Here is a 26,000-nt window from a genome sequence, read left to right as displayed (position 1 = left end):
AAAACAAAGTGGGGGCTCTGCCGTCACTGAATTTTTATAAAAGGGGGTTTCTCCATTCATTGAGCAAAAAAGGAGCCTCTAGTCATTGAATAAGTATTACTGGGTTCTTTCAGTGTAAGAAGCTCTTCGGCAAGCCTTGGGGATCAAAGGGAGCACTTTCAAGGAGCTACAGGCCAGTAGATATTAGCCTGTTGAATTATGGACCTGGTCCTGGCTATTTTATAGTAATCTAACATTTACTGAGTACCCACTCTGTGCCAGGCACTGAACCTACTATGTGCCTGGTCCTAGCTATTTTATAATAACATCTAACATTTACTGAGCACCTACTATGTGCCAGGCTATTTATTTATTTATTTATTTATTTTTGAGATGGAGTCTCGCTCTGTCTCCCAGGCTGGAGTACAGTGGTGCAATCTCGGCTCACCGCACCCTCTGCCTCCCGGGTTCAAGCAATTCTTCTACTTCAGCCTCCCAAGTAGCTGGGATTACAGGCACGCGCCACTACACCCAGCTAATTTTTCTATTTTTAGTAGAGATGGTTTTTCGCCATGTTGGCCAGGCTGGCCTGGAACTCCCGACCTCAGGTGATCCGCCCACCTCGGCCTCCCAAAGTGCTGGGATTACAGACATGAGCCACCGCGCCCGGCCCAGACTTTTCTTACATTCATTCATTCAACCTACATCTCTTAATGCGACATACACTACCATTTCACTGGGTCTAGAACATACATTTTTTTTGTCTTTTAACTAGGTTTGCCAGAGTTAGCAAATAAAATACAGGACTCTGATTGCATTTGAAATTAAGATGAATGATGAATAACTTTTTAGTATAGATACACCTCCCAGTAGTACATTTTAAATAGAATATACTTATCCTAAAATATTACTCATTTTTTAAAATCTGAAATTCAAATTTAACTGGTCATCCTGTATTTTATCTGGCACCCCTACTTAAAATATTTCTAAAGCCTATAGGAGTCTTAGATCTGATGGGCTTTTATAATTCGTGACTTTTTTCTTAGTGGTTCACTAAAATAATGTATTTCAGTGGCTTCTTAGATTGGTTGAAATGCAGTATAGTAGCCTCATTTGACAGACGAGTAGACTGAGGCTTACTGAGGTTAATAAACTCTCCCAGGTCACAAAGCCAGTGGCACAGCCAGGATTTCAGCCCAGACAGGCCACTCTAAGACTGCATACAGGCCGGGCGCGGTGGCTCACGCCTGTAATCCCAGCACTTTGGGAGGCCGAGGTGGGCGGATCACGAGGTCAGGAGATCGAGACCATCCTGGTTAACACGGTGAAACCCCGTCTCTACTAAAAATGCAAAAAAAAAATTAGCCGGGCGCGGTGGTGGGAGCCTGTAGTCCCAGCTACTCAGGAGGCTGAGGCAGGAGAATGGCGCGAACCCGGAAGGCGGAGCTTGCAGTGAGTTGAGATCGCGCCACTGCACTCCGGCCTGGGCGACAGAGCGAGACTCTGTCTCAAAAAAAAAAAAAAAAAAAAGACTGCATACATATTACTATCCTTCTAATTAAGAATTCGTATTGTGCCAGGCACAATTCTAGAACTAGAGATATAGCAGGGAAGAAAATAGAAAAAAAAAAAAAAATATATATATATATATATATATATATATATATATATATATATATATATATATATATATATTGCCCTCATGGAGTTTAACCTGACAGTGTTGAAGGCAGAAAATGAATAATTACATTACATAGTATGTTAGAAGGTGATTAAAAAAAAAACTATGGAGAAAAATAAAGGAAACAAGGGAGGGAAACAGAAGGCGATGGGAGCTGTGATCCTAAGTGGGCAGGGGAGTCAGGTATAGTACTCAGTGAAAAGGTGACATTTGAACAAAGACTGGAAGGAGGTAAGAGGAAGCCATGCAAAGGTCTTAGGCGACAGCATCCCCCGCAGAGGGTCAGTGACAAAGCCCAGAGGCCAGGGCACATGTGGGATGTCTGAGGAAGTCAGGGAGACAGGTGTTGAATGAAGGAGAGGGAGAGATGAGGTCAGATGGGCTATGGGGAGTGAAGGGGGATCCTGTAGCGCCATTTTACAGACTTTGGCTTTTAACCTGAGGATAACAGGAAACTTGCCAACTCTGTGGTCTTGGGCAGGTGAATTGATCTGAGCTTTACCGATTTTTCCTCTTCTGTAAAATGGAGCTGATAATATGACCTACCTTGTGGAGCAGTTTTATGAATTAACCAAAAATTATAATGACCAGTATGAGAGGATGACAGATGCCTTGCTGCTGGGTTTATTCTTTTTATTTTTATTTTTACTGGCTTTTTGTTTGTTTTTTTCTGAGACAGGGTCTCACTCTGTCACGCAGCCTGGAATGCAGTGACATAGTCACAGCTTACAGAAGCCTCAACCTTCTGAGCTCAAGTGACCCTCCTGCCACAGCCTCTTGAGTAGCTGGGATTGCAGGCATGCACCACCATGTCCAGCTGATTTTTTTTTATTTATCTTATTTTTTTATTTTTTTGTAGAGACAAAGTTTCACCATGTTACCTGGGCTGGTCTCGAACTCCTGGGCTCAAGCTATCTGCCTACCTCGGCCTCCTAAAGTGCTGGGATTACAGGTGTGAGCCACCATGCCTGTCCTATTTTAATTTAATTTAATTTAATGTTATTTATTTATTTATTTATTTTCGAGACAGGGTTTTACTCTTTCACCCAGGCTGGAGTGCAGTGGTGCAATCTCGGCTCACTGCAACCTTCACCTTCTGGGCTCAAGCCATCCTCCCACTTCAGCCTTCCAAGTAGCTGGGACTACAGGCATGCACACCTGGCTAATTTTTTTTTAATTTTTGTAGATACAGGATTTCACTATGTTGCCCAGACTTGTCTCGAACTCCTGAGCTCAGGCAATCTGCCTGCCTCAGCCTCCCAAAGTGCTGGGATTACAAGTGTGAGCCACTGCGCCCAGCCCTGGGTTTATTATTGTTATACAAATATCAAACTTTTTTTGCACTTTGGCAAGTACCTGGCTTTGTTCATGGGCCCGAAGGAAAGCATATATAAATATACAAATTACACTATATGTATGGCTCATGCAGAGTGGAAAGAATTTTAATATCCTGATGATTCATTGCCTCATCTATTCACTCAACAAACATTTCCTAAGTGCCTCTTCATGCCAGGTTCCGTGCCCCAGGCACTGGGAATTTGAGAAAGAAAGGACAGAGCCTCAGACTCCGGAGAGTTTTGCCTAGAGCATGGGCTGTCACTGGTGGCCCGTGGAGTGGATTTATTCTGTGAATGTGTGTGATTTATCAACTCTGAATGGAGTCATTTTAAAATCTGGAACAACTGCCTTTAAAGATAGACATATGTCAAAAAAAGAAAGTTCAGATTTCCAGTTCTCTTGAAAAATCAGGAGCTCTGGCTACCCTGAGCCCACATTCCTCATAGAAACCAGGCCAGGCCTGAGCAGCAGCTGCACCCTTGGACCCAGCACAGGCTTCCCAGTTCACTCTGGTGCCTTGGTTCCCGGTTCTTCACCCCCAACCCACTTGGTTCATTTCTTAGCCTTCTGTGGAAATTGAGCATTCTACGTATTTGTGTTTTGACCTCCAGGAAAAGTATCACAGCAGATGTAAGGGGCAGGGACAAAGAAGGCCATGATGACTCTGCTGGAGATCCCCAGGATGGCATCACAGAGGGAGGGATGCCAGAACTGAGATTTGGATACACAGCTCAGGAGGCAGGTCAAGGTATTCCAGGCAGAGGCACCACTTGTGCAAAAGCAGAGGGGCAAGCAAGTCTTAACCCCTATCAGTATCATTCACTGCTCCTCATGGATGCCATAGTCAGGTGAGGTCGTTTTCCAAGGCAATATTTTCCACGAGTGCCAGGGTTAAGCGGCTGTCAGTTTGCAAATAAAAACACAAATGGGAAAACTGTATACATTACAATTTTACCATGAAACACACTCAGATTGCATGAGTTTTGCAAAAGAGATGGATCAGAGGAAAGGGACAGGGAGGGAGAACAATGTAATTCATGCAATTTAGGGTTAGGATTATTTCATCACTGAGTGTGTATCCTGGGGTGAGCTGGAGGTCAGAGGCATGAATCCCTGGTTTCCTCAGTGGGGTCCTGTCTCCTTTTTACCTCTCATGGTGACAACGTCTCATTCCACTATGTGTAATTGTAGGGTTTAACGGTACAGAAATTTTGAATGATAGGAACCCAAAACACAACCCACCTTCTACATTTGATGCTGAACAGAAGAAATAGTGAAATGCAACAAAATTCGGGATAAACTGGTGATGTTAGACATTATGATCTCATATGTGTTGTTGTTTACTATAAGAGTACTTCAGAGTAAATAACATGACCAGGAGCAGTGGCTCATGCCTATAATTCCAGCACTTTGGGAGGCTGAGGCAGGCAAATCACTTGAGCCCAGAAGTTCAAGACCAGCCTGGGAAACATAGGGAGACTTTGTCTCTCCAAAAACAACTTTAAAAATTAGCCTGATAAGGCCAGGCATGGTGGCTCACGACTGTAATCCCAGCACTTTGGGAGTCCGAGGTGGGCAGATCACAAGGTCAGGAGTTCGAGACCAGCCTGACCAACATGGTGAAACCCCGTCTCAACTAAAAATACAAAAATTAGCCAGGTGTGGTGGCACACACCTGTAATCCCATCTACTCAGGAGGCTGAGGCAAGAGAATCACTTGAACCCAGGAGGCAGAGGTTGCAGTGAGCCGAGATTATGCCACTACACTCCAGCCTGGGCAACAAAGCGAGACTCCGCCTCAAAAAAATAAATAAATAAAAATTAGCCTGGCATAGGTGGCATGCACCTGTAGTCCCGGTTCTTGGGAGGCTCAGGTGGAGGATCACTTGAGCCCTGGAGTTCAAGACTGCCGTGAGCCATGATCCCACCACTCCACTTCAGCCTGGGTGACAGGGTGAGACTCTGTCTCAAAAAAAAAAAAAAAAAAAAAGTCTCCAGAGTAAATAATGTGAAGCAGGAGGAAATGTGTATTAATGAACTTGAATTTGCAACCCAGAGTGAATTAGTCAGTATTTAAAGTATGGTAATCAGGAACCCACCAGGCAGTGACAGTTGCTTAAGTCTTTCAGATATTATAGGACCCTGCACCAGAGGGTTTGCTGGAAAGGATACTAGAAATAATGTTCACTGCTGAAATGAGTGGTGTTCAAGATACAATTGGATAGAATGTATGGGAGATTGGGTGTGGTGGCTCACACCTGTAATACCAGTAATTTGGGAAGCCAATGCAGGAGGATTGTTTGAGGCCAGGAGTTTGAGACCAGCCCTGGCAATACAGTGAGATCACATCTCTACAAAAGTTTAAAAATTAACTGGACATGGTGACATGCGCCTGTAGTTCCAACTACCCAGGAGACTGACATGAGAGAATTGCTTGATTCCAGGAGTTCAAGGCTGCAGTGAGCTAAGATTGAGCCACTGCACTCCAGCCTGGGCAACAGAGTAAGACCCCGCCTCAGAAAAAAAAAAAAAAAAAGGAAGGAAGGAAGGAATGAAGGGAGGGAGGGAGGGAGGGAGGGTTCCATTATCCTTGCACGGTATAAGAATACAGCAGTCTCTTGAGAGGTCGAGACGGGTGGATCACGAGATCAGGAGATCAAGACCATCCTGGCTAACACGGTGAAACCCCGTCTCTACTAAAAAACAAAAAATTAGCCGGGCTTGGTGGCGGGTGCCTGTAGTCCCAGCTACTCAGGAGGCTGAGGCAGGAGAATGGTGTGAACCTGGGAGGTGGAGCTTGCAGTGAGCCGAGATCGCGCCACCGCACTCCAGCCTGGGGGACAGCGAGGCTCCGTCTCAAAAAAAAGAATACAGCAGTATCCACCTGTTAAGATCTCTAGAGCCATGCTAGAGATATTTATTTTCAATATAATTTATTTAATTGTAAGTTTATATAACCATTTTAATAATGGCTATGTTTAACAATCAGGTCACAAAATTCCTGAAAATTTAACAGTTGGCTCTGGTTGGCCTAAGAGAACTGGCTTCAGCTCCTTGGTGCTGAGCCTGGGCTGCTCTGCCTAAACTCTCTGCCTGTTGGCACTTGATCATCTTTCAGATCTTGGCCAAGCAGTACTTGGTTAAAGAATTCTCAGTGCATTCTGCCACAGCTCGTCACACTTGGGTTAGCTAATTCTATGTACGATTATTGTTTGATTGTTGCTTTGACCGCTTATCATGTCAGCTCCACGAAAGCTGGGGCTTTCATCTATGTTTGTCCTGTCCCCTCCTGTATCTCCCATGCCATTCACAGGGCCTGGTACCCAGGAGGTGCCCAATTAACATCCATTTAAGAAATAAATGGGCTGGGCATGGTGGCTCACACCTGTAATCCCAGCACTTTGGGAGGCCAAGGAGGGTGGCTCACCTGAGGTCAGGAGTTCGAGACCAGCCTGGCCAACGTGGCAAAACCCTGTCTCTACTAAAAATATAAAAATTAGCCACACACGGTGGCATGTGCCTATGGTCCTAGCTACTCGGGAGGCTGAGGCAGGAGAATCGCTTGAGTCCAGGAGGTGGAGGTTACCGTGAGCTGAGATCGCACCACTGCACCCCATCCTGGGCAACAGAGACTCCGTCTCAAAAAAAAAAAAAGAAAGAAAAGAAATAAATGAATGAGAAATTTCCATTAAGGCTTTCTCTACTTACATGTGCAAGTTTTGGTGATGTTATGGAGAAATTAGATAAAATTTTGCACATAAAGAGTGAATGATTTGTTTACTAACTGGCCCATTCGTCAACTCTTTGCAGTAGTTCCATCTTTTTGTACCGTGGACCCTGTTGGTTGTCTGAGGAAGCCTGTGATCCCGTTCTCAGGACAAAAAAATGCACAGGCTTGCAAAGAAATCCAATTACATTAAAATGCAGTTCCCCTAAAAATGTTAAAACAAATGTATAATATGGTAATATGTGTGCATTTTTATTAACACATTAAGTGACAAGATGCAGTGCAGATTCTAACAACTGTAATTTTGAGATAGCAATAACTATAGAGGATACTTCCTATTATTTGTAACTCTGGTGTAAGATGAAAATATCTGGTTTCCACTGGCAACAAAGTCTCAAGGACTGCTAATTCTGCTGTGGTTTGCCTATATTCAAAAGGTGGAAAATAGGCCGGGCGTGGTGGCTCACGACCGTAATCCCAGCACTTTGGGAGGCCAAGGTGGGCAGATCACGAGGTCAGGAGTTCGAAACGAGCCTGGCCAACATGGCATAACCCTGTCTCTACTTAAAATACAAAAATCAGCTGGGCGTGGCAGCACACGCCTGTAGTCCCAGCTACTCAGGAGGCTGAGGTACAAGAATCGCTTGAGCCTGGCAGGCAGAGGTTGCAGTGAGTCAGGATCGCGCCACTACACTCCAGCATGGACGACAGAGCGAGACTCTGTCTCAAACAAAAAAAAAAAAAAGAAAGAAAGGGGAAAAATGAGAAAATGCAGATTAGAGTATATATGTGTTTTTGTTTGTTTGTCTGTTTGTTAATCAATGTATCATAAATTCTATCCCAGGACTGCTTGGGAGTCCGTGGACACCTGGTTAAGGATTCCTATGGACAGATCAATTAACCCAAGGGCTCCAGGAGATGCAGATCAAAGACCGCCACACAAGAAAGAGGCCACACAGATAAAGAGCCCAGGACCTGCTGTCAGACCTCCCCAGATTCAGATTCTTAGGCCTGCCCCTTATAGGCTGTGTGACCTCGGACAAGTTCCTTATTTACTCTGAGCCTGAGTGTCCTCGCTCGTAAAATGGGTCTAACAACGACCACCTCCAAGAAAGATCACGATGCTGAAATGACTCAGAACAGTGCCTGGAGTGGAAGAGCTGCTGGGAAAATAATAACTGCTATTTCTACATCAGTTATGCCAGTTCTTTTTGACCTAAGAAACTCCAGCGCTTTTAATACAATCAAACTGGGTTATTGGTGACTTACAGAGGAGACCCTAGGCAGGTAACTATTGAACCTTGAAAACCGTAACATGGACACAGAGTAGAGAGCCCATTTATCTCAACTGGATTCTTCTCAGTGGACTTCGAGCTTCTTATCAGAAAAACACTTTGATGACAGCGCTTAGTGCTTAACAGCTTAAGAGCAGTTCAAACATGCGCCAGAGGCTTGCTGAGGAGGCCCGCCCTCCAGATTCTGCAAATAGATACACTGGGGTGAGCCTGCAGCCCAATTTGCCCAGGACTGTCCTGGTTAATGCTTGCGGTCCCCGTGTGATTATTAATAGTATCTGTTGTATCCATACGAGCGTCCCAATTTAGATGATCCTATAGATGGTCACTGTTGATAAGGACCATGGCTGCCTTCTCCCTTAGCTGCCAAGCTGTGTATAGGATATTGTTTCTCCTTGGCAGAATTCAGAAAGTAAGTTTGGACCCTCTGGAATTCTGGTCCTTTTCTTCTAGGTTTCAGGCATCATTATTGCATAGGAGCTTTGAAGTCCAAAGTAATCTAGAGTTAGAATGACCAGACATCCTGGTTTCTTGGATTTTATTTTAAGTGGGAGGGGAGTTACTGAAGGGGTGATTATATATCAGTTCACTTAATCCTTATACTTATATATTAATAGCCCAGGCTTGGTGGCTCACACTTGTAACCCCAGGACTTTGGGAGGCTGAGGCAGAAGGATCGCTGAGCTCAGGAGATTGAGATCAGCCTGGGCAACACAGTAAGATCCCCATGTCTACCAAAAATTTAAAAACTTCAGCCAGGTGTGGAGGTACACACGTGTAGTCCCACCTACGCAGGAGGCTGAGGAGAATCACTTGAGTCCAGCAGGTTGAGGCTCAATGAGCCATAATCACACCACTGCCACTACACTCCAGCCTGGGCGACAGAGTGAGAACCTGTCTCAAAATAAAAATAAAAATATTATCATACTTAATAATAACGCTCTGGGGGTAAACATTGTTATTCCCATTGATGCATGAGAAGAGTAAGGCCCAGAAAGAAAAAATAACCTGTCCAGAGCCTCACAAATGGTAAACAATAGAGTCTGGACTTGATTCCAGATCACTTGACCAACTGCCCTGATTTGCAGATCCTCTGAGTTCAACCAAAGAAATGAGCACAAAAAAATCTCTCTGTGCCTGCAGGTGTGACATTCTTAACCCTGTCTTTAATACAACTGCCACATCCCAGCGTTCCTTGACAGACTGTGGAGCACACCTAAGCCACCTTGCTTGCCATAGGGTTTGGCTCCATGACCTTGATGTGAGTTCATAGATTTGTTTGCAGTTGTGAAAATTAAATGAGAGAGCGAGATTTCATTGTGTGTGTGGAGTGTGTGTGTGTGTGTTGGGGGAGGGAGGAGAACAAACGATTTTAAATTCAGCCTAAAATTAAATGCACATTGGATGCATGCCAAACGGACTCCACAACCACCAGACTTTGCAAGTTTCAACGATTTCCAAGTCCTTCCTTTGTTTTTTTTTCTTTTTTTGAGACGGAGTCTCACTGTGTCGCCAGGCTGGAGTGCAGTGGTGCGATCTTGGCTCACTGCAAGCTCTGCCTCCCAGGTTCAAGCAATTCTCCTGCCTCAGCCTCCTGAGTAGCTGGGATTACAGGCACGCACTACCACGCCCAGCTAATTTTTGTATTTTTAGTAGAGATGGGGTTTCACTATGTTGGCCAGGATGGTCGCAATCTCCTGACCTCATGATCCGTCTGCCTTGGCCTCCCAAAGTGCTGGGATTACAGGCATGAGCCACTGTGCCCAGCCTGCAAGCCCTTCTTCTGCCGAGTGCTATGCTAGTTTCTAGAAGAAGAGGGATGTTACTCATTCATCTGCTATGCATGGTCCACTATGTTCCAAGGTGGGAGACGTGTACAGAGGTGAGCACCTCCAGCCTTCAGGCCACTTATATTCCCAGGTGTAGGTGATAGATAGGCAAATGCGTGCACTCTGGTTGTTGAAGATGTAGAGCAATTGGACTCCTCCTGCACCACTTGTGGTCATGTAAAATGGTATGGCCACTTTGGAGAACATTCTGGCAGTTCCCTGTTTGGTTAAATATAGAGTTACCATATCACCCAGCAATTCCACTCCTAGGTATTTTACCCAAGAGAAATGAAAACACATGTTCACACACAGACTTGCACATGACTGTTTATAGCAGCAATATTCACAATAGACAGAAGGTGGAAACAACCCAAATGTCCATTACAGGATGAATGGATAAACAAAATGTAGCATATGCATACAATTGCTTATCCATAAAAAGAAATGAGGTTCTGACACATGCTGTAATATGGATGAACCTTGAACATTACAGTAAGCGAAAGAAGCCAGTCACAGAGACCATATATTTTATAATTCCATTTATATGAAATGCCCAGAATGGGTCAATCATTAGAGACAGAAAGTAGGTTAGTGCTTGTTCAGGGATGGGAGGACATGAAGGAAGAGGGTAATAACGGAAGGGTTTGGGCTTTCTTGAAGTGATGAAAATGTTCTAAGGTCAATGGTGGTGGTGGTTTTACAATTCTGCGAATGTACTAAAAACCATTGGATTGTACGGTTTAAATAGATGAATGAAATGATATGTGAATTATATATCCAAAAATGCTGTTAAAAACAAAACAAGTATATCCCGGACCATCAGAGAGAAAATAGAGTAGGAGTGTCTAAATCTTTTTGTGTTGCTGTAAAGGAACACCACAGGATGGATAATTTACAAAGGGAAGAGTTGGGAGGCCAAGGTGGGAGGACCACTTGAACCCAGGGCTTTGAGACCAGCCTGGGTAGCAGAGCGAGACCCTATCTCTGTAAAAAATTTAAAAATTAGCCAGGCGTGGTGGTGCATGCCTGTGATTTCAGCTGCTCGGAAGGCCGAGACAGGAGGATTGCTTGAGCCCAGGAGGCCAAGGGTGCAGTGAGCCATGATCATGCCACTTCACTCCAGCCTCAGTGACAGAGTGATACCCTGTCTCAAAAAAAGAAAAGAAGCTTATTGACCTAGGGTTCTGCAGGCTGTACAAGAAGCATGGCACCAGTATTTACATCTGGTGAGGACCTCAGGTTGCTTCCACTCATGGCGGAAGGGAAAGGGGAGCTGGTGGGTGCAGAGGTCACATGACACAAGAGAAAGCAAGAGAGATAGGAAGAGGTGCCAGGCTCTTTTAAGCAACCAGCTGTCAAGGGAACTAACAGAGTGAGAACACACTCACTATAGCAAGGATGGCACCAACACACTCATTGGGGGTCCACCCCCATGGCCCCAATGCCTCCTGCTAGGCCCCACCTCCAACACTGGGGATGAGATTACAACATGAGACTTGGAGGGGAGAACTATCTAAACTGTATCAAGGAACCTAGGCATGGGGGCTCACGCCTGTAATCGCAGCACTTTGGGAGGCCAAGGCAAGCTGAGGTCAGGAGTTCGAGACCAGCCTGGCCAACATGGTGAAACCCCATCTCTACTAAAAATACAAAAATTGGCTGGGTGTGATGGAACACACCTGTAGTGCCAGCTGCTCGGGAGGCTGAGGTGGGAGGATTGCTTGAACCCAGGAGGCAGAGGTTGCAGTGACCCCAGATTGCACCACTGCACTCCAATCTGAGGGATACAGTGAGATCCCATCTCACTGTATTTGTGTGTGTATTTGACCTAAAATGAGTTAATAAGAGTTGGACTTGCTACAAAAGCACCACCAATGTTTCCAATTTTTCAGCCACGTTTTTTGTTATTGTTTTTTGTTTGCTTGAGATAGGTCTTGCTTTGTCATCCAGGGTGGAGTGCAATGGTGCAATCTCGGCTCACTGCAGCCTTGACCCCCTGGGCTCAAGCAATCCTCCCACTTCACCCTCCTGAGTAGCCGGGACTACAGGGGCAGGCCACTACACCCTTCAGCCACGTTTCCAAAGTGGGGAGGATGGTTAGGATGCCTGGGTTCTGCCACAGTTTGTGATAAGGTCACTGATGAGGTGATCAATTGAGTCAGGAAGGCCTGTGGGATCAGTGATACAGAGGAGGACTGTGGAGTTGAGAGTCCTCAGCTGGAGTTCTGGCTCCAAGATTGCTGGACCCTGGGCTCACCCCAGCACTTAAGAGCTGGTTGTTAAGTTTTCAGGAATTTCACAAGCTGGTTGTTAAACACAATCTTTAAAAAAATTAAATTCTACAAACTAAAATTTATTTTATTTTATGTATATGTATATAAAAAGAGAGAGGACAGGGCTTCACTCTGCCACCCAGGCTGGTGCGCAATGGCGCGACCATGGCTCACTGCCTCCTGATTCTCCCACCTCAGTCTCCCAAGTAGCTGGGACTACAGGCGCATGCCACCACACCTGGCTAATTTTTTGTATTATTTGAAGAAATGAGGTTTCACTAGATTGCCAGGGCTGGTCTCAAACTCCGGGAGTCAAGCAGTCCTCCCGCCTCAGCCTCCTAAATTGTTGGGAGTATAGGCATGAGCCACTGCACCCGGCCCAAACTTAAATTTAAATAAATGATATTAAAACCAAAGGATGCGGGGCGCGGTGGCTCACGCCTGTAATCCCAGCACTTTGGGAGACTGAGTGGGGTGGATCACTTGAGGTCAGGAGTTCGAGACCAGCCTGGCCAACATGGTAAAACCCCTGTCTCTACTAAAAAATACAAAAAATTAGCCGGGCATGGTGGTAGAAGTCTGTAATCCCAGCTACTCGGGAGGCTGAGGCAGGAGAATCGCTTGAACCCGGGAGGCAGAAGTTGCAGTGAGCTGAGATCACACCATTGCACTCCAGCCTGGGCAACAAGAGCAAAACTCCATCTCAAAAATAAATAAAAAAATAAAATTAAAAATAAAACCAAAGGATATTCCAAGTGACATAATCTAGACACAGAAGGACAAATACTGTACTACTCCGTTTATATGAGGTGGATCTATTTAAGTGAAGTCTTACAATAATCTAAAATAGGCCAATTCATAAAGACAGAAAATAGAAGAGAAATTCCTAGGGGCTGGAAGGAGGGAAAAGGGAACAGGCAGTTAGTTTTTAACGAGTTGGTGTTTGGGATGATTTAAAAGAAAATTTCTGAAAGCAGTGGTGATGTTGATGCAACATTGTGACTATACTTAATGCCACTGAATTACACACTAGTTAAAATGGTAAATGTCATGCTTTGTACATTTTATCACACACACACACACAAAAAATTTAGGCCGGGCACGGTGGCTCACACCTGTAATCCCAGCACTTTGGGAGGCTGAGGCAGGCAGATCACGATGTCAGGAGATTGAGACCATCCTGGCTAACATGGTGAAACCCCGTCTCTACTAAAAATACAAAAAATTAGCCGGGCGTTGTGGCGGGCGACTGTAGTCCCAGCTACTCAGGATGCTGAGGCAGGAGAATGGCGTGAACCCGGGAGGCAGACCTTGCAGTGAGCCGAGATCGCGCCACTGCACTCCAACCTGGGTGACAGAGTGAGACTCCGTCTCAAAAAAAAAAAAAAAAATTTAAAAGGCAAGCAAAATGGCTCATGCCTGTAATCCCAGCACTCTGGGAGGCTGAGGCGGGAGGATTGCTTGAGGCCAGGAGTTTGAAACCGGCCTGGGCGATGTAGCAAGACCTGTCTCTACAAATTAAAAATTTTTTAAAAAATTATCCAGACACAGTGGTGCACACCTGTAGTCTTAGCCTCACAGGAGGCTTAGGGGAGAGGATCTTTTGAGCCCAAGAGTTCCAGGTTGTAGTGAGCCATGATCTTGCTACTGCATTCCAGCCTGGTGACAGAGCAAGACTCTGTCTCAAAGAAAAAGAAAAAACAGAATGAATAAGACTTGCTATTGGATAGCACAACTGGGTGACTATAGTCAAAAATAACTTAATTGTACATTTTAAAATAACTCAAAGATTGTAATTGGATTGTTTCTAACTCAAAGGATAAATGCGTGAGAAGATAGATACCCCATTCTCCATGATGTGCTTATTTCACATTGCATGCCTGTCTCCAAACATCTCATGTACCCTATAAACATATACACCTACTATGTACCCACAAAAATTAAAAATGAAAAAATTTAAATTAAATTTAAAAATAGAAATAACAAAGGAAACAAAGAGTGGAAACTCATCCCTTCCTAATGATTTTCCCACACTTTGCTGCTATCATCTGTGCTCCTGCAGTGATTCTCCTGTGTCATGGAAACACCATGTAAGGAATGGTCTTATTGCTCATCTCCTCCCACCTCCATGTTCAGCGGCTGTGGTGATCTTTGGGCACAAATCTGAAGGGAAAAACGAGCTGGCTATGTGAAGAGCCAGGAGCAAGCTTCCCAGGCAGAGGAAGTAGCAAAAAACCTCGTTTTGCTTGGTTGAAGAACAGCCAGAAGGCCAGCGTGGATAGAACAAAAGGAACAAGGCACGGCGCAGTGGCTCACTCCTATAATCCCAGCACTTTGGGAGGTCGAGGTGAGTGGATCATTTGAGGCCAAGAGTTTGAGACCAGCTTGGCCAACATGGAGAAATCCCATCCCTACTAAAAATACAAAAATTAGCCAGGTGTGAGGGGCGGGTGCCTGTAATCCCAGCTACTCGGGAGGCTGAAACAGGAGATTTGCTTGAACCCGGGAGGCGGAGGTTGCAGTGAGCTGAGATCCTGCCATTGCACTCCAGCCTGGGCAAGAGAGCAAGACTCTGTCTTATAAACAAGAACAAAATGAACAAGCGAAACGGTGGTAGTAGGTGAACTTCGAGGCATGACAAGGGCCATAATTAAGCAAGCTTAAGGAAAGTTTGGTCCATGAAGGGCCGCGTCTCATAGTCTTCTATTGGCCTTAATCAATAGTTTCTAGCCCGTTGGCCATAGTCCCCTGCAGTGGTGAAAGACGACGGGTTTGAGAAGCTAGGAAATCATAGGAAAGGATCCTGTGACTTGTTATACACACAAAACAGTATCTGTAAACCAAATGAATGCATCTTGGTTTTCATGTGGCACTAGCTTTTAAAGGCACTGGCAAGGCTATTGTAATTTCATAAACTACAAATCCACGGCAAAAGCACTTGATATTTTACAACTGTGCATTTATCACAGGTTCTTCTCAATCAATGAAAATAAATAACTAGACCATGTGATGATGAAATATCTGGCGAAGGAAAATGCACTCATACTCCAAACTGGAAGGACAAGTCTTGAGCATGTCCAGGCCTTTCTAGTCCCAAAGTCATAGAAGATTTTACTGTAAGAAAATGTGTTAAGGTAAAAAGAAGAGGTGGTGGTTTTATCATTATTATTACTAGAGAAAGAATGTATTGAGCCTTATTATCAGCTCTGTTCATGTTCTTTCAGTTTTTCATCTAATCCTCCAAGCTATTTTTTTTTTTTTCTGAGACAGAGTCTTGCCCTGTCACCCAGGCTGGAGTGCTGTGGTGCGATCTCAGTTCGCTGCTACCTCTGCCTCCTAGGTTCAAGTGATTCTCCTGCCTCAGCCTCCCAAGTAGCTCGGATTACAGGTGTGCACCACCACACCTGACTAATTTTTTGTATCTTTAATAGAGACGGGGTTTCACCATGTTGGCCAAGCTGGTCTTGAACCCCTGATCTCATGATCTGCCCACCTCGGCTTCCCAGAGTGTTGGGACTACAGATGTAAGCCACCGTGCCTGGCCTCCAAATTGTTTTTTAAAGCAAGTATCATGATCCTATCATACAGATGAGACGTCTTTAAGTTCAGAGATATTAACTACATTGACTATGTTTACACAAATAGTAAATGGTAGGGGAAGAGGTGAAGATCTAGCCTGTATCAGTCACATATGGCTGCATAACATATAATCCCAAAACTCCACAACTTAAAACAATAAGCATTTGCTATTGTTTATGAGTTTATGGGTTCTGCCAAGGGGTTCTTCTCTTCCAAGTTGAGGTCACTCGTGCTTCTGTAATCAGCTTTGTGTTGAGTAGGTGTTTCTGCTAATCCAGACAGGGCTCTCTCATGTGTTAGGAAGTAGGCTGGCTGTATGTTGGTCTATGATGGCTTTAGCTGAGACAGCTGGGCCCTTCTCCACGTGGTCTCCCATCCATCTAGCCAGGCCAGGCTTGTCCTATGGCAGTAGCAGTGTTCCAAAATATAAACAGACTCTCATGAGGTCTCCTGAGGCTGGAGCTTGGTGCCGGTACACTGCTATTTCTACTGCATTCTGTTGGCCAAAGCAAGTCAAAAATCCAGCTGCTATTCAAGGAGTGGGAAATAGATCCCACTTCTTCATAGAAGGGATCACAAAAAAATATGTGCAAAGGGTATAGATACAGGGAGGAAAAAGATACAGCCACTTTTTACAATCTCTTTTACCCAGACAAAGAAGAAAAAAAAAACTATTGTGTTAATAAAGGGCAGGAAATGCAGCACATAATGTAATCACAAGTCTCAAAATCAAGTAAGTTCTCCACTTTGGAGAACAGTTTGACAGTTTCTTATACATACATTAACCATACTTTTACCCCCTGACCTAGCAATTCCATTTCTAAGTATTTACCCAAGAGAAATAAACACACATTTCCAAAAAGAAATATATACATGCATACAGAAATGTTCATTGCAGCTTTATTCATAATAGTCAAAAACTGGAAAAAATAAATAAAGTGTCCATCAACGGGTGAATTGTTAAAGCGCTGTATAGCTACACAATGGACCATGGCTCAGAAGTAATTTTAAAATGAACTAAGGACATAAATAACAATGCAGACGCATCTCAAAAACATTTCAATAAAAAGAAGCCAGACACAAAAGTGATCATTTTGTCTGGTTCCATTTATGTGAAGTTTGAAAACTGGCCAGACTGAGCTACGGTGTTAGAAATCAAAATCTCGGGAGAGGACGGATTGTTACTGGAAAAAGACATAAGGGAATGTACAGTGATAAAAGAGTTCTTATATCAATTGGAGCAGTGGTTACAAGGGTATAGAGCTTTGTTGGAAGACATAAAACTACATTTAAAATCTTTGCAATTTGGCCAGGCGTGGTAGCTCACACCTGTAATCTCAGCACTTTGGGAGCCCAAGGCAGGCGGATCACCTGAGGTCAGGAGTTCGAGACCAGCCTGGCTAACATGGTGAAACCCTGTTTCTACTAAAAATACAAAAAATTAGCCGAGAGTGGTGGCGTGCACCTGTAATCACACCTACTTGAGAGGCTGAGGCCGGAGAATCACTTGAACCCGGGAGGCATGGGTTGCAGTGAGCCGAGATCATGCCACTGCATTCCAGCTTGGGCAACAAGAGCAAAACTCCATCTCAAATAAAGAAATAAAAATAAATAAATAAATAAATAAATAAATACAAACCTTTGCAACGTATTGTATGCAAAATTGGACCCCAATTAATAATAATAATGAAAATGAAGTTGGGCTTCAAAATGCTTTCTTAGAAAGATTTGGAGGAGGCCAGGTGCCATGGCTCATGCCTATAATCCCAGCACTTTGGGAGGCCAAGGCAGGTGGATCATGAGGTCAGGAGTTCGAGACCAGCCTGGCCAACATAGTAAAACCCTGTCTCTACTAAAAAATACAAAAAATTAGCCGGACATGGTGGTGGGCGCCTATAATCCCAGCTACTCGGGATGCTGAGGCAGGAGAATCGCTTGAATCCAGGAGGCAGAGGGTACAGTGAGCCAAGATTGTGCCATTGTACTCCAGCCAGGTTGACAGTGCGAGACTCCGTCTCAAAAAAAAAAAAAAAAAAAAAGATTAAAAAGATTTGAAGGAACTGGCAGGGGTTTCAGGGTTTCACTGTGAGCATGAGACTCCATGAGTCACGGTATTAGGGAAGTGTGAGATTGGGAGATTGGGGGCCTGGGAGCCCTCAGGGAAACCTGTAAGCATTAATTGTGTCCTTACCTGACCCTGCTTCTACAGAAAGGAGTAGCATCCATTTACATGTTCAAGAGACAAGCAGGAAATATCAACTAAATGTGCATGTAAATTCATTCCAGCTTGCTGTGGCTATGGGGAATTTCGCCTTGAATGGGTCCAGCTTTATTTTCCCAGGATTTTGTTGGCAGGAGGTGGTTCAGACGCCACCTTCCTGGAGTCAGATGCCAGGAAGGAGAGTCAAGATCCGCAGGGAGGCTTCTGTAGATGTCAGACTCCACTAAGAAAGTTGTGAATCAGGTTCCCGGTGTTTATGCTGCATAGAAACCACTGATTCTCTCACTTAGAAAATCACTCGAAACACATCCAATTATTTGAGCAGAGAGATTAAGAAGCGCTCTGTGCAACTGAATTGTATCAATGAAAACGAACAGAAATCTTGGTGTAAAAACACTCCAGCTAGACCTTGGCTGAGTGGAGCAAATGCAGGGGCGGGGGGGGATCATGGAACACAGATCTCCTGCTTTGGGGACTTTTAAAATAATCTGTGGTCTTGTTTTGGAATGAAACATTTCTCCTTAAATACAACAGGATTCCGTTGGCCAAAGCAAGACAAAAATCCAGCTGCTATTCAAGGTGTGGGAAATAGATCTCATTTCTTCATGGAAGAGATCACAAAGGTAGTATGTGCAAAGGGTATGGATACAGGGAGGGAAAAAGAGATACCACCAAAAAGAGATACCAGCATGGTGGCTCATCCCTGTAATTCCAACACTTTGGAAGGCCGAGGCAGGCGGATCACTTGAGCTCAGGAGTTCGAGACCAGACTGGCCCACATGGCGAAATGCCATCTCTACTAAAAATACAAAAAAATTAACCAGGCATGGTAGGTCGTGCCTGTAATTCCAGCTACTCGGGAGGCTGAGGCACAAGAATGGTTTAGACCCAGGAGGCAGAGGTTGCAGTAAGCCAAGATTGCGCCACTGTGCTCCAGCCTGGGCAACAGAGCGAGATTCTGTCTAAAAAAAAAAAGAAGACGAAAATCTGGGTTGTCTCTAAGAAACCAAATGACGAATGGAAAACATGTTTTAATAATAGTTTGCATGTCATAAGCAGCCTACCTGCATTATTCTGACTCAATCTACTACAACCTATGGGGTAACTATTATTTCCTCCATTTCACAGATAAGAACACTGTGGCTCTGACTTGCTCAGTCTGTCTCATCCTTGGCCTATGCTTTCAACATTTAGCTAAGTGGGTTTTAGTTTCCTATAAGAAAGTAGTTTACATTTCCATTCTCTTTCGCAAATGATCTAAACATAATATTTCCGTATGCTAACTAAACATCCCACTTAATTGTGTACTTGGGTTTACAATAAATGACCCCAAGTTATATTACTTTACTTGTGGAGTGAATGGGAAGAAGAAAGAGGCAGGATGGGCATGTAAAGGATGCATTTGTGCCAGCAGGAATGCTTTGTTTTTCGTGATTCAGGAGAAAAGTGGAGGATGGGCTGAGTCATTGCAGACTCAGAAAGTGCCATGACAAGGCATCCACACTGCTTACAGAGATTGCACTTCTGTGCAGTTGTTTCATCCACATATGAAATTATTGCTGCTAATTTGGGTTTCCAAGTCCTCATAGTTTTGTTTGTATTAATTTGTCAATTTGCTTTCATCTTAGGGTTCAGATTTATGAGATATATAAGAAGTATGTTTGTAAGGAGTTTAAACCTATTCTCTTACATTGATTTGCAGTTATGTTGTATAATTAAATATACACATTAACATTTTAGGTCTACACACTTTTTCATCTGTGAAATGGGTCTCACTATTCCTCATATTGCAGAGTCTATCTTTAACTACTACTCCCCCACTACTTCTTGTTAAGTGCATAAATTTCTCATGTTTCATAAAGAACTATTACTAGCAAAGAAATGCAAATAAAAGGCAATATGACTTTCTCTGTGATATCTACAAGCGTGTGTGTGTGTGTGTGTGTGTGTGTGTGTGTGTGTGAATATGCATATGTGTGTGTATTTTTTTGTCTGTTTTTGAGATGGAGTCTCGCTCTGTCGCCCAGGCTGAAGTGCAGTGGTGTGATCTTGGCTCACTGCAACCTCTGCCCCCCGGGTTCAACCGATTCTCCTGCCTCAGCCTCCCAAGTAGCTGAGACTACAGGCATGTGCCACCACACCCGGCTAATTTTTGTATTTTTAGTAGAGACAGGGTTTTGCAGTGTTGACCAGGCTGGTCTCGAACTCCCGACCTCAGGTAATCCGCCCACCTCAGCCTCCCAAAGTGCTGGGATTGCAGGCGTGAGCCACCATGCCTGGCCATGTTTTTTTGTTTTTAATTAGTTAGAAGCCCTTTGTTTTTTGGAGGAAAAAAGTATATCCATCCATCCAATGCAGGTAAAATGTAAATCAGTACAACCTTTGGGGGGGTGCATTTGACAGCATGCATCATGAGCCTTAAAAATATATCACTTTTTGATGACATCGGCACTCTTCAAAATACATAGGATTACTTTTACTCCAGTATTTCACTGCTAGGAATTTATCTTGTGTAAATAACATGAAAAAGAAAGAAAGAGAGAGGGTGGGAGAAGGAGAGAGGGAGAGAGGAAAAAAATACAACCAGAATGTCTGGCAATGGGAGACTGTTTAAATGTTCCCTGGTAGAATATGAAATAGCTCTTTCATTTATTCATTCATTCATTCATTCATTTTGCGACAGGGTCTCATTATGTCACCCATGCTGGAGTGCAGTGGCACGATCATAGCTTACTACAGCCTCAAACTCTTGGGCTCAAGCAACCCTCCTGCCTCAGCCTCCCAAGTAGTTGGGACAACAGGCACACGCCACTACCCCTGGCTAAATATTTTTATTTTTTTAGAGGTGGGGGTCTCACTATGTTGTCCAGGCTGGTCTCTAACTCCTTGGCTCAAAGAAACCTCCCACTTCATCCTCCCAAGTAGCTGGGACTACAGGTACATGCCACCATGTCTGGTTAATTTTTTTAATTTTTATATAGCCCTTTTAAATGGTACTTAGTAAAGAATGTTTAACATCATGATGGAAAAGTAGTCCCAAATATAAAGAAAAAACATAGGATATTAAACATGTTTCGTTTTTTCTAAAGCATATATGTTTTTAAATGCAGAGAATGAAGACTGAATGAATTCATAGCAAAATGTCAATACAGATTATTGCTGAGTGGTAAGATAGCACTGATTTTATAGTCTTCATTTTGTTTTTAATGATTGTGTTTAATTGTCCTACTGTGGATGAATATTAATTTTGGAAGTCAGTAGTGTAAATAAACCCCAGTGTAAAACAAACTTGGGTTAAGTTTTCAGCTGCATTAATCTTTCCAGTGATCTTAAAAGAAGTTATTTAATGTTTGTAAATCTCAATTTCCTCATCAGTAAAATGGGCATAACATTCATGTCTATTTTTAAAACCTGTGAGTCATAAATGAGATAAATGACATAGTAAGGGATTTAGCATTGGGACTGGCAAACAGTATGAGTTCAATAAAAGTTATCTGTAATGGTCGGGCACAGTGGCTCACACCTATAATCCCAGCACTTTGGGAGGCCAAGGCTGGCGGATCACCAGAGGTCAGGAGTTCGAGACCAGTCTGATCAACATGAAGAAACCCCGCCTCTACTAAAAATACAAAATTAACCGGGTGTGGTGGCACATGCCTGTAATCCCAGCTACTCGAGAGGCTGAGGCAGGAGAATCACTTGAACCCGGGAGGCGGAGGTTGTGGTGAGCTGAGATCATGCCATTGCACTCCTGCCTGGGCAACAAGAGCGAAACTCCACCTCAAAAAAAAAAATTATCTGTAATGAGAAAATAATGATAAAAATGTTTTCTTTGTGTTAGCCATATATTTAAATAAACATTTCTACGGTTTCTAAGTGTGCTAATCAAACATTCAGCTTCCACTAGGAAATTCTGCTAGCGGGAAAAAAAAAAGAGAGAGAGAGAGAAGGAGAGAAATACATGACCCAGTGTATCTTTATTAGCCTTGTAATCTATGGATATTTCTTTGGAGCTGTGAAAGGCATTGTTAAGCCTTTATTAATCATAGGCCATTGAGTGTTTACCAGGGGCGATTCTTCCTCCCAGAGGACGTTTGGCAATGTCTGGAAACATTTTCCATTGTCACAGCAGGGGTGGAGGTGCTACTGGCATCTAGTGGGTAGAGGCCAGGGATACTGCTAAATATCCAAGGCACACGACAGCAACACAAAACAAAGAATTATCCACCCAAAATGTCAACAGTGCTGAGGTTGAGAAGCTGCTCGTAGCGGCATTATGTACAACCTGACTGCGGAGGAGTGTGTAACAAAGTGAGCTTATTGCCTTCCTGCTTTTTCATCCATTGTATGTTTGTGTATGAAACTGAAGTGGAAACATTTTGGAAACACCTCCTCAGCCCACCCCACATAGAATATTCTTTCTCTTTCTCAACCCAATAGATCTCAGGTCCTATTGTGCACCAAATCTCTTTATCAGGGTTAAAAGACGAAGAAACACACAAGCAACTCATTGAAAGCCAGGGTAAGTTAGAGGTAGTAGGGTGAAGGTTAAGAGCTTGACTTTTGGAGTCTGACCAATGTAAGTTCAAAAGTCACTTTCCTCACCTGCTACCCATGTGATTCTGGGTAGAATTTTTTTTTTTTTACTTCTCCACAAGTTAGTTTCCTTAAATAAAAAACGGAACTAACCACACCTAGGATCACAAGGTTATGAGAATTAGATGTGAAAAGATAACGTAAAGCCTTTAACCCAGAGGCAGATTATGGGAGGAATTCAACAAACTGAAATAAAAGTAGGAGAAGGAAAAGAGAAAAGAAGGACTCTTAACAGTTCCTTTACTACAGAGCTGGGTTTGGTAAGCACTTCAGAATGCCTATTAAAGCCTAATGCGTTTGACCTGAAAGCCAGCAGCAACTCAACTTAACAGACAATGTACTTGATCAAACAAATCACAAGGAAGATGACAAATACAAGTTGCTGGACAAACCTGTTTTCTAAAAGAACAGATGCTGAAGCAATGATCCTAGGTGCCAAGAAAGGAATTCACAGGACCATGCTTTGCCAACAAATAAGTTATCGGATCAGAAGTAATTGTCACTGGTTCATCGGTGTCAAAAGTCAACTCCAAATTGCAAAGCTGGAAAACATCTTTGCAACATGTATGACAGACGCCTAATAGCCTATATAAAGAGAACTTACAGATGGAAAATCCTCAAAATAAAGGCAATACCCGTAAAAAGAAATATAAAAGGCTGATCAATAGATGCCATGATGTTCAGCTTATTGGCGAAGCTGCCCCATTTCACAGCTTCGGGGGGGGTGTCTATTTGGAAACAGACACTCCAAATAGAGAACTGTGAAACTGGCAGCCTGCCTGACCATATTCAGTGCCCCTGCTTAGTAAACAACAACAATAAGTAAAACAATGAGAATATTGTAATACAGTTGTCCCTCCATATCCCTGGGGGATTGGTTCCAGGACCTCCCACGGATACCAAAATCCACAGATGCTCAAGTTCCTGACAGAAAAAGGTGTATTTGGCAGGCCAAGGTAGGCGGATCACTTCAGCTCAGGAGTTCCAGCATAGTCTAGACAACATGGCGAAACCTCATCTCTACAAAAAGTACAAATATTAGCTCAGCATGATGGCGTCCCCCTGTAGTCCCTGCTACTTGGGAGGCTGAGGTGGGAAGATGGCTTAAGCCCAGTAGGTGGAGATTGCAGTGAGTCAAGATCTTGCCACTGCACTCCAGCCTGGGCAACAGAAACACACCCTGTCTCAAAAAACAAAAGAAAAAGGTATATTTGCATACAGCTTATGTACATCCTCCTGTACACATTAAGTTACCTGTAGATTACTTATAACACCTAAGCCTATATAAATAGTTGTTGTACAGTATTATTCAGGAAACGACAAGAAAGAAAGTCAGTACATGTTCACTGCAGATGCATTTTTTTTTTTTTTAAACAGAGTTTCACGCTTGTTGCCCAGGCTGGAATGCAATAGCGCAATCTCTGCTCAACACAACCTTCGCCTCCCGGGTTCAAGTGATTCTCCTGCCTCAGCCTCCTGAGTAGCTGGGATTACAGGCATGTGCCACCAAGCCCGGCTAATTTTTTTGTATTTTTAGTAGAGGCGGGGTTTCTCCATGTTGGTCAGGCTGGTCTCGAACTCCTGACCTCAGGTGATCCGCCCACCTCAGCCTCCCAAAGTGCTGGGATTAAAGGCGTGAGCCACTGCGCCCGGCAATCATCTTTTTTTTTTTTTTTTCAAATATTTTCAGTTGAGTTGAGTTAATCCATGGATACAGAATCCGCACGTACGTAGGGCCAACCGTCCTGAGAGGAATTTTTTTTTTTTTTTTTTTTTTGAGACAGGGTCTCATTCTCTCACCCAAGCTACAGTGCAGTAGCATCATCATGGCGCACTGCAGCCTCAACTTCCCAGTCTCCCGCAATCCTCCCATCTCAGTCTCCCAAGTAGCTGGGACCACAGGCATGCACCACCATGCCAAGCTAATTTTTGTATTTTGGGTAGAGACAGAGTTTTGCCATGTTGCCCAAGCTGGTCTCAAACTCCTGAGCTCAAGCAATCCTCCCACCTTGTCCTCCCAAAGTGCTGGACTTATAGGCATGAGCCACTGCACCTGGCCTACCTGGGGGGATTTTTAAAAGCATCTTTATTGACATGTAATTAACATACAATAACTACACATATTGAAAAGGTACAATTTGTTTTGTTCTGTTCTATGTATATGACCATGAAATCATCACCACAAATCAATATAGTAACCATATCCATTAGTCCAAAAGATTTCTTTGTAATTACTTTATTTTGTTCCTCCCGCCGATTACCAGGCAACCACTGGTCTGCTTTACTATAGATTAGTGTCATTATAGGTTAGTGTCACTAAATGGAGATTAGTGTATACTTCTTAGTGTTTATACAAATGGAATCAAATGGCATGTACTCTTTGTTGTCTGGCATCTTTCACTCAGCATAATAATTTTGAGAATCACTAATGTCATTGCATGTATCAATAGTTCATTTACTTTTATTGCTGAGTGCTATTCCATTGTATGGATGTACCACAATTTGTTTATCTATTAAGTTGTTGACGGACATATGGTTTATTTTCAGTTTGAAGTTATTACAATTAAAACCACTATAAACATTTGTGTACAACTCTTTGTATGGACATCTATTTCCTTTTCTCTTGGATAAATACCAAGGCATGAAATGGCTAGATCATAGGGTAGATGGACATTGAACTTTTAAAGAAACTGTCAAACTATTTTCCAGAATGGTTGCAACATCTTTCTTTCCTACCAGTGGTATATGAGAGTTCCAGTCCCTCCACATTCTTTTTCTTTCTTTCTTTTCTTTTCTGAGATGAAGTTTCATTCTTGTTGCCCAGGCTGGAGTGCAACGGCACCATCTCAGCTCACCACAACCTACGCCTCCCAGGTTCAAGTGATTCTCCTGCCTCAGCCTCCTGAGTAGCTGGGATTACAGGCATGCGCCACCATGCCCAGCTAATTTTGTATTTTTAGTAGAGACAGGGTTTCTCCATGTTGGTCAGGTTGGTCTCAAACTCCCGACCCCAGGTGATCCACCCACCTCGGCCTCCCAAAGTGCTGGGATTACAGGCATGAGCCCCCATGGCAGCTTTTTTTTTTGAGATAGAGTCTCAGTCTGTCACCCAGGCTAGAGTACAGTGGTGCAATCACGGCTCACTGCAACCTCCTCCACCTCCCAGTTTCAAGCGATTCTCCAGCCTCAGCCTCTCGAGTAGCTGGGATTACAGGAGCACACAACCATGCCAAGCTAATTTTTAAATTTTTAGTAGAGATGGGGTTTCACCATGTCAGCCAGGCTGGTCTTGAACTCCCAACAAATGATCCACCCACCTTGGCCTCCCAAAGTGCTAGTATTACAGGTGTGATCCATTGTGCCTGGCCAAGTCCCTCTACATTCTTGCCTACTCTTGGTATGGTTAGCATTTTAATTTTACCAGAAAATATCATGAATAATAAGGTAATATATAATATTTTGAACTATAAGATTTGCAAAAG

General features: G+C 43.6%; 2 annotated features.

Annotated features, from left to right (window-relative positions):
• Nucleotides 7,358-7,859: an enhancer, noted in NCBI's record as "H3K4me1 hESC enhancer chr20:52417835-52418336 (GRCh37/hg19 assembly coordinates)". NCBI's record gives its function as "activates a minimal SCP1, AML or CMV promoter by ChIP-STARR-seq in naive H9 embryonic stem cells {active_cell/tissue: H9 hESC(naive)}" and the evidence as "EXISTENCE:reporter gene assay evidence [ECO:0000049][PMID:30033119]".
• Nucleotides 9,839-10,039: a silencer, noted in NCBI's record as "peak4274 fragment used in MPRA reporter construct". NCBI's record gives its function as "represses an SCP1 promoter by STARR-seq MPRAs in K562 erythroleukemia cells {active_cell/tissue: K562}" and the evidence as "EXISTENCE:reporter gene assay evidence [ECO:0000049][PMID:32103011]".

The sequence above is a fragment of the Homo sapiens genome, chromosome 20, assembly GCF_000001405.40.
Source record: "Homo sapiens chromosome 20, GRCh38.p14 Primary Assembly".
Lineage (NCBI taxonomy): Eukaryota > Metazoa > Chordata > Mammalia > Primates > Hominidae > Homo > Homo sapiens.
Note: the sequence above shows the minus strand (reverse complement) of the source record. Positions and strands in the feature narration are given on the sequence as shown.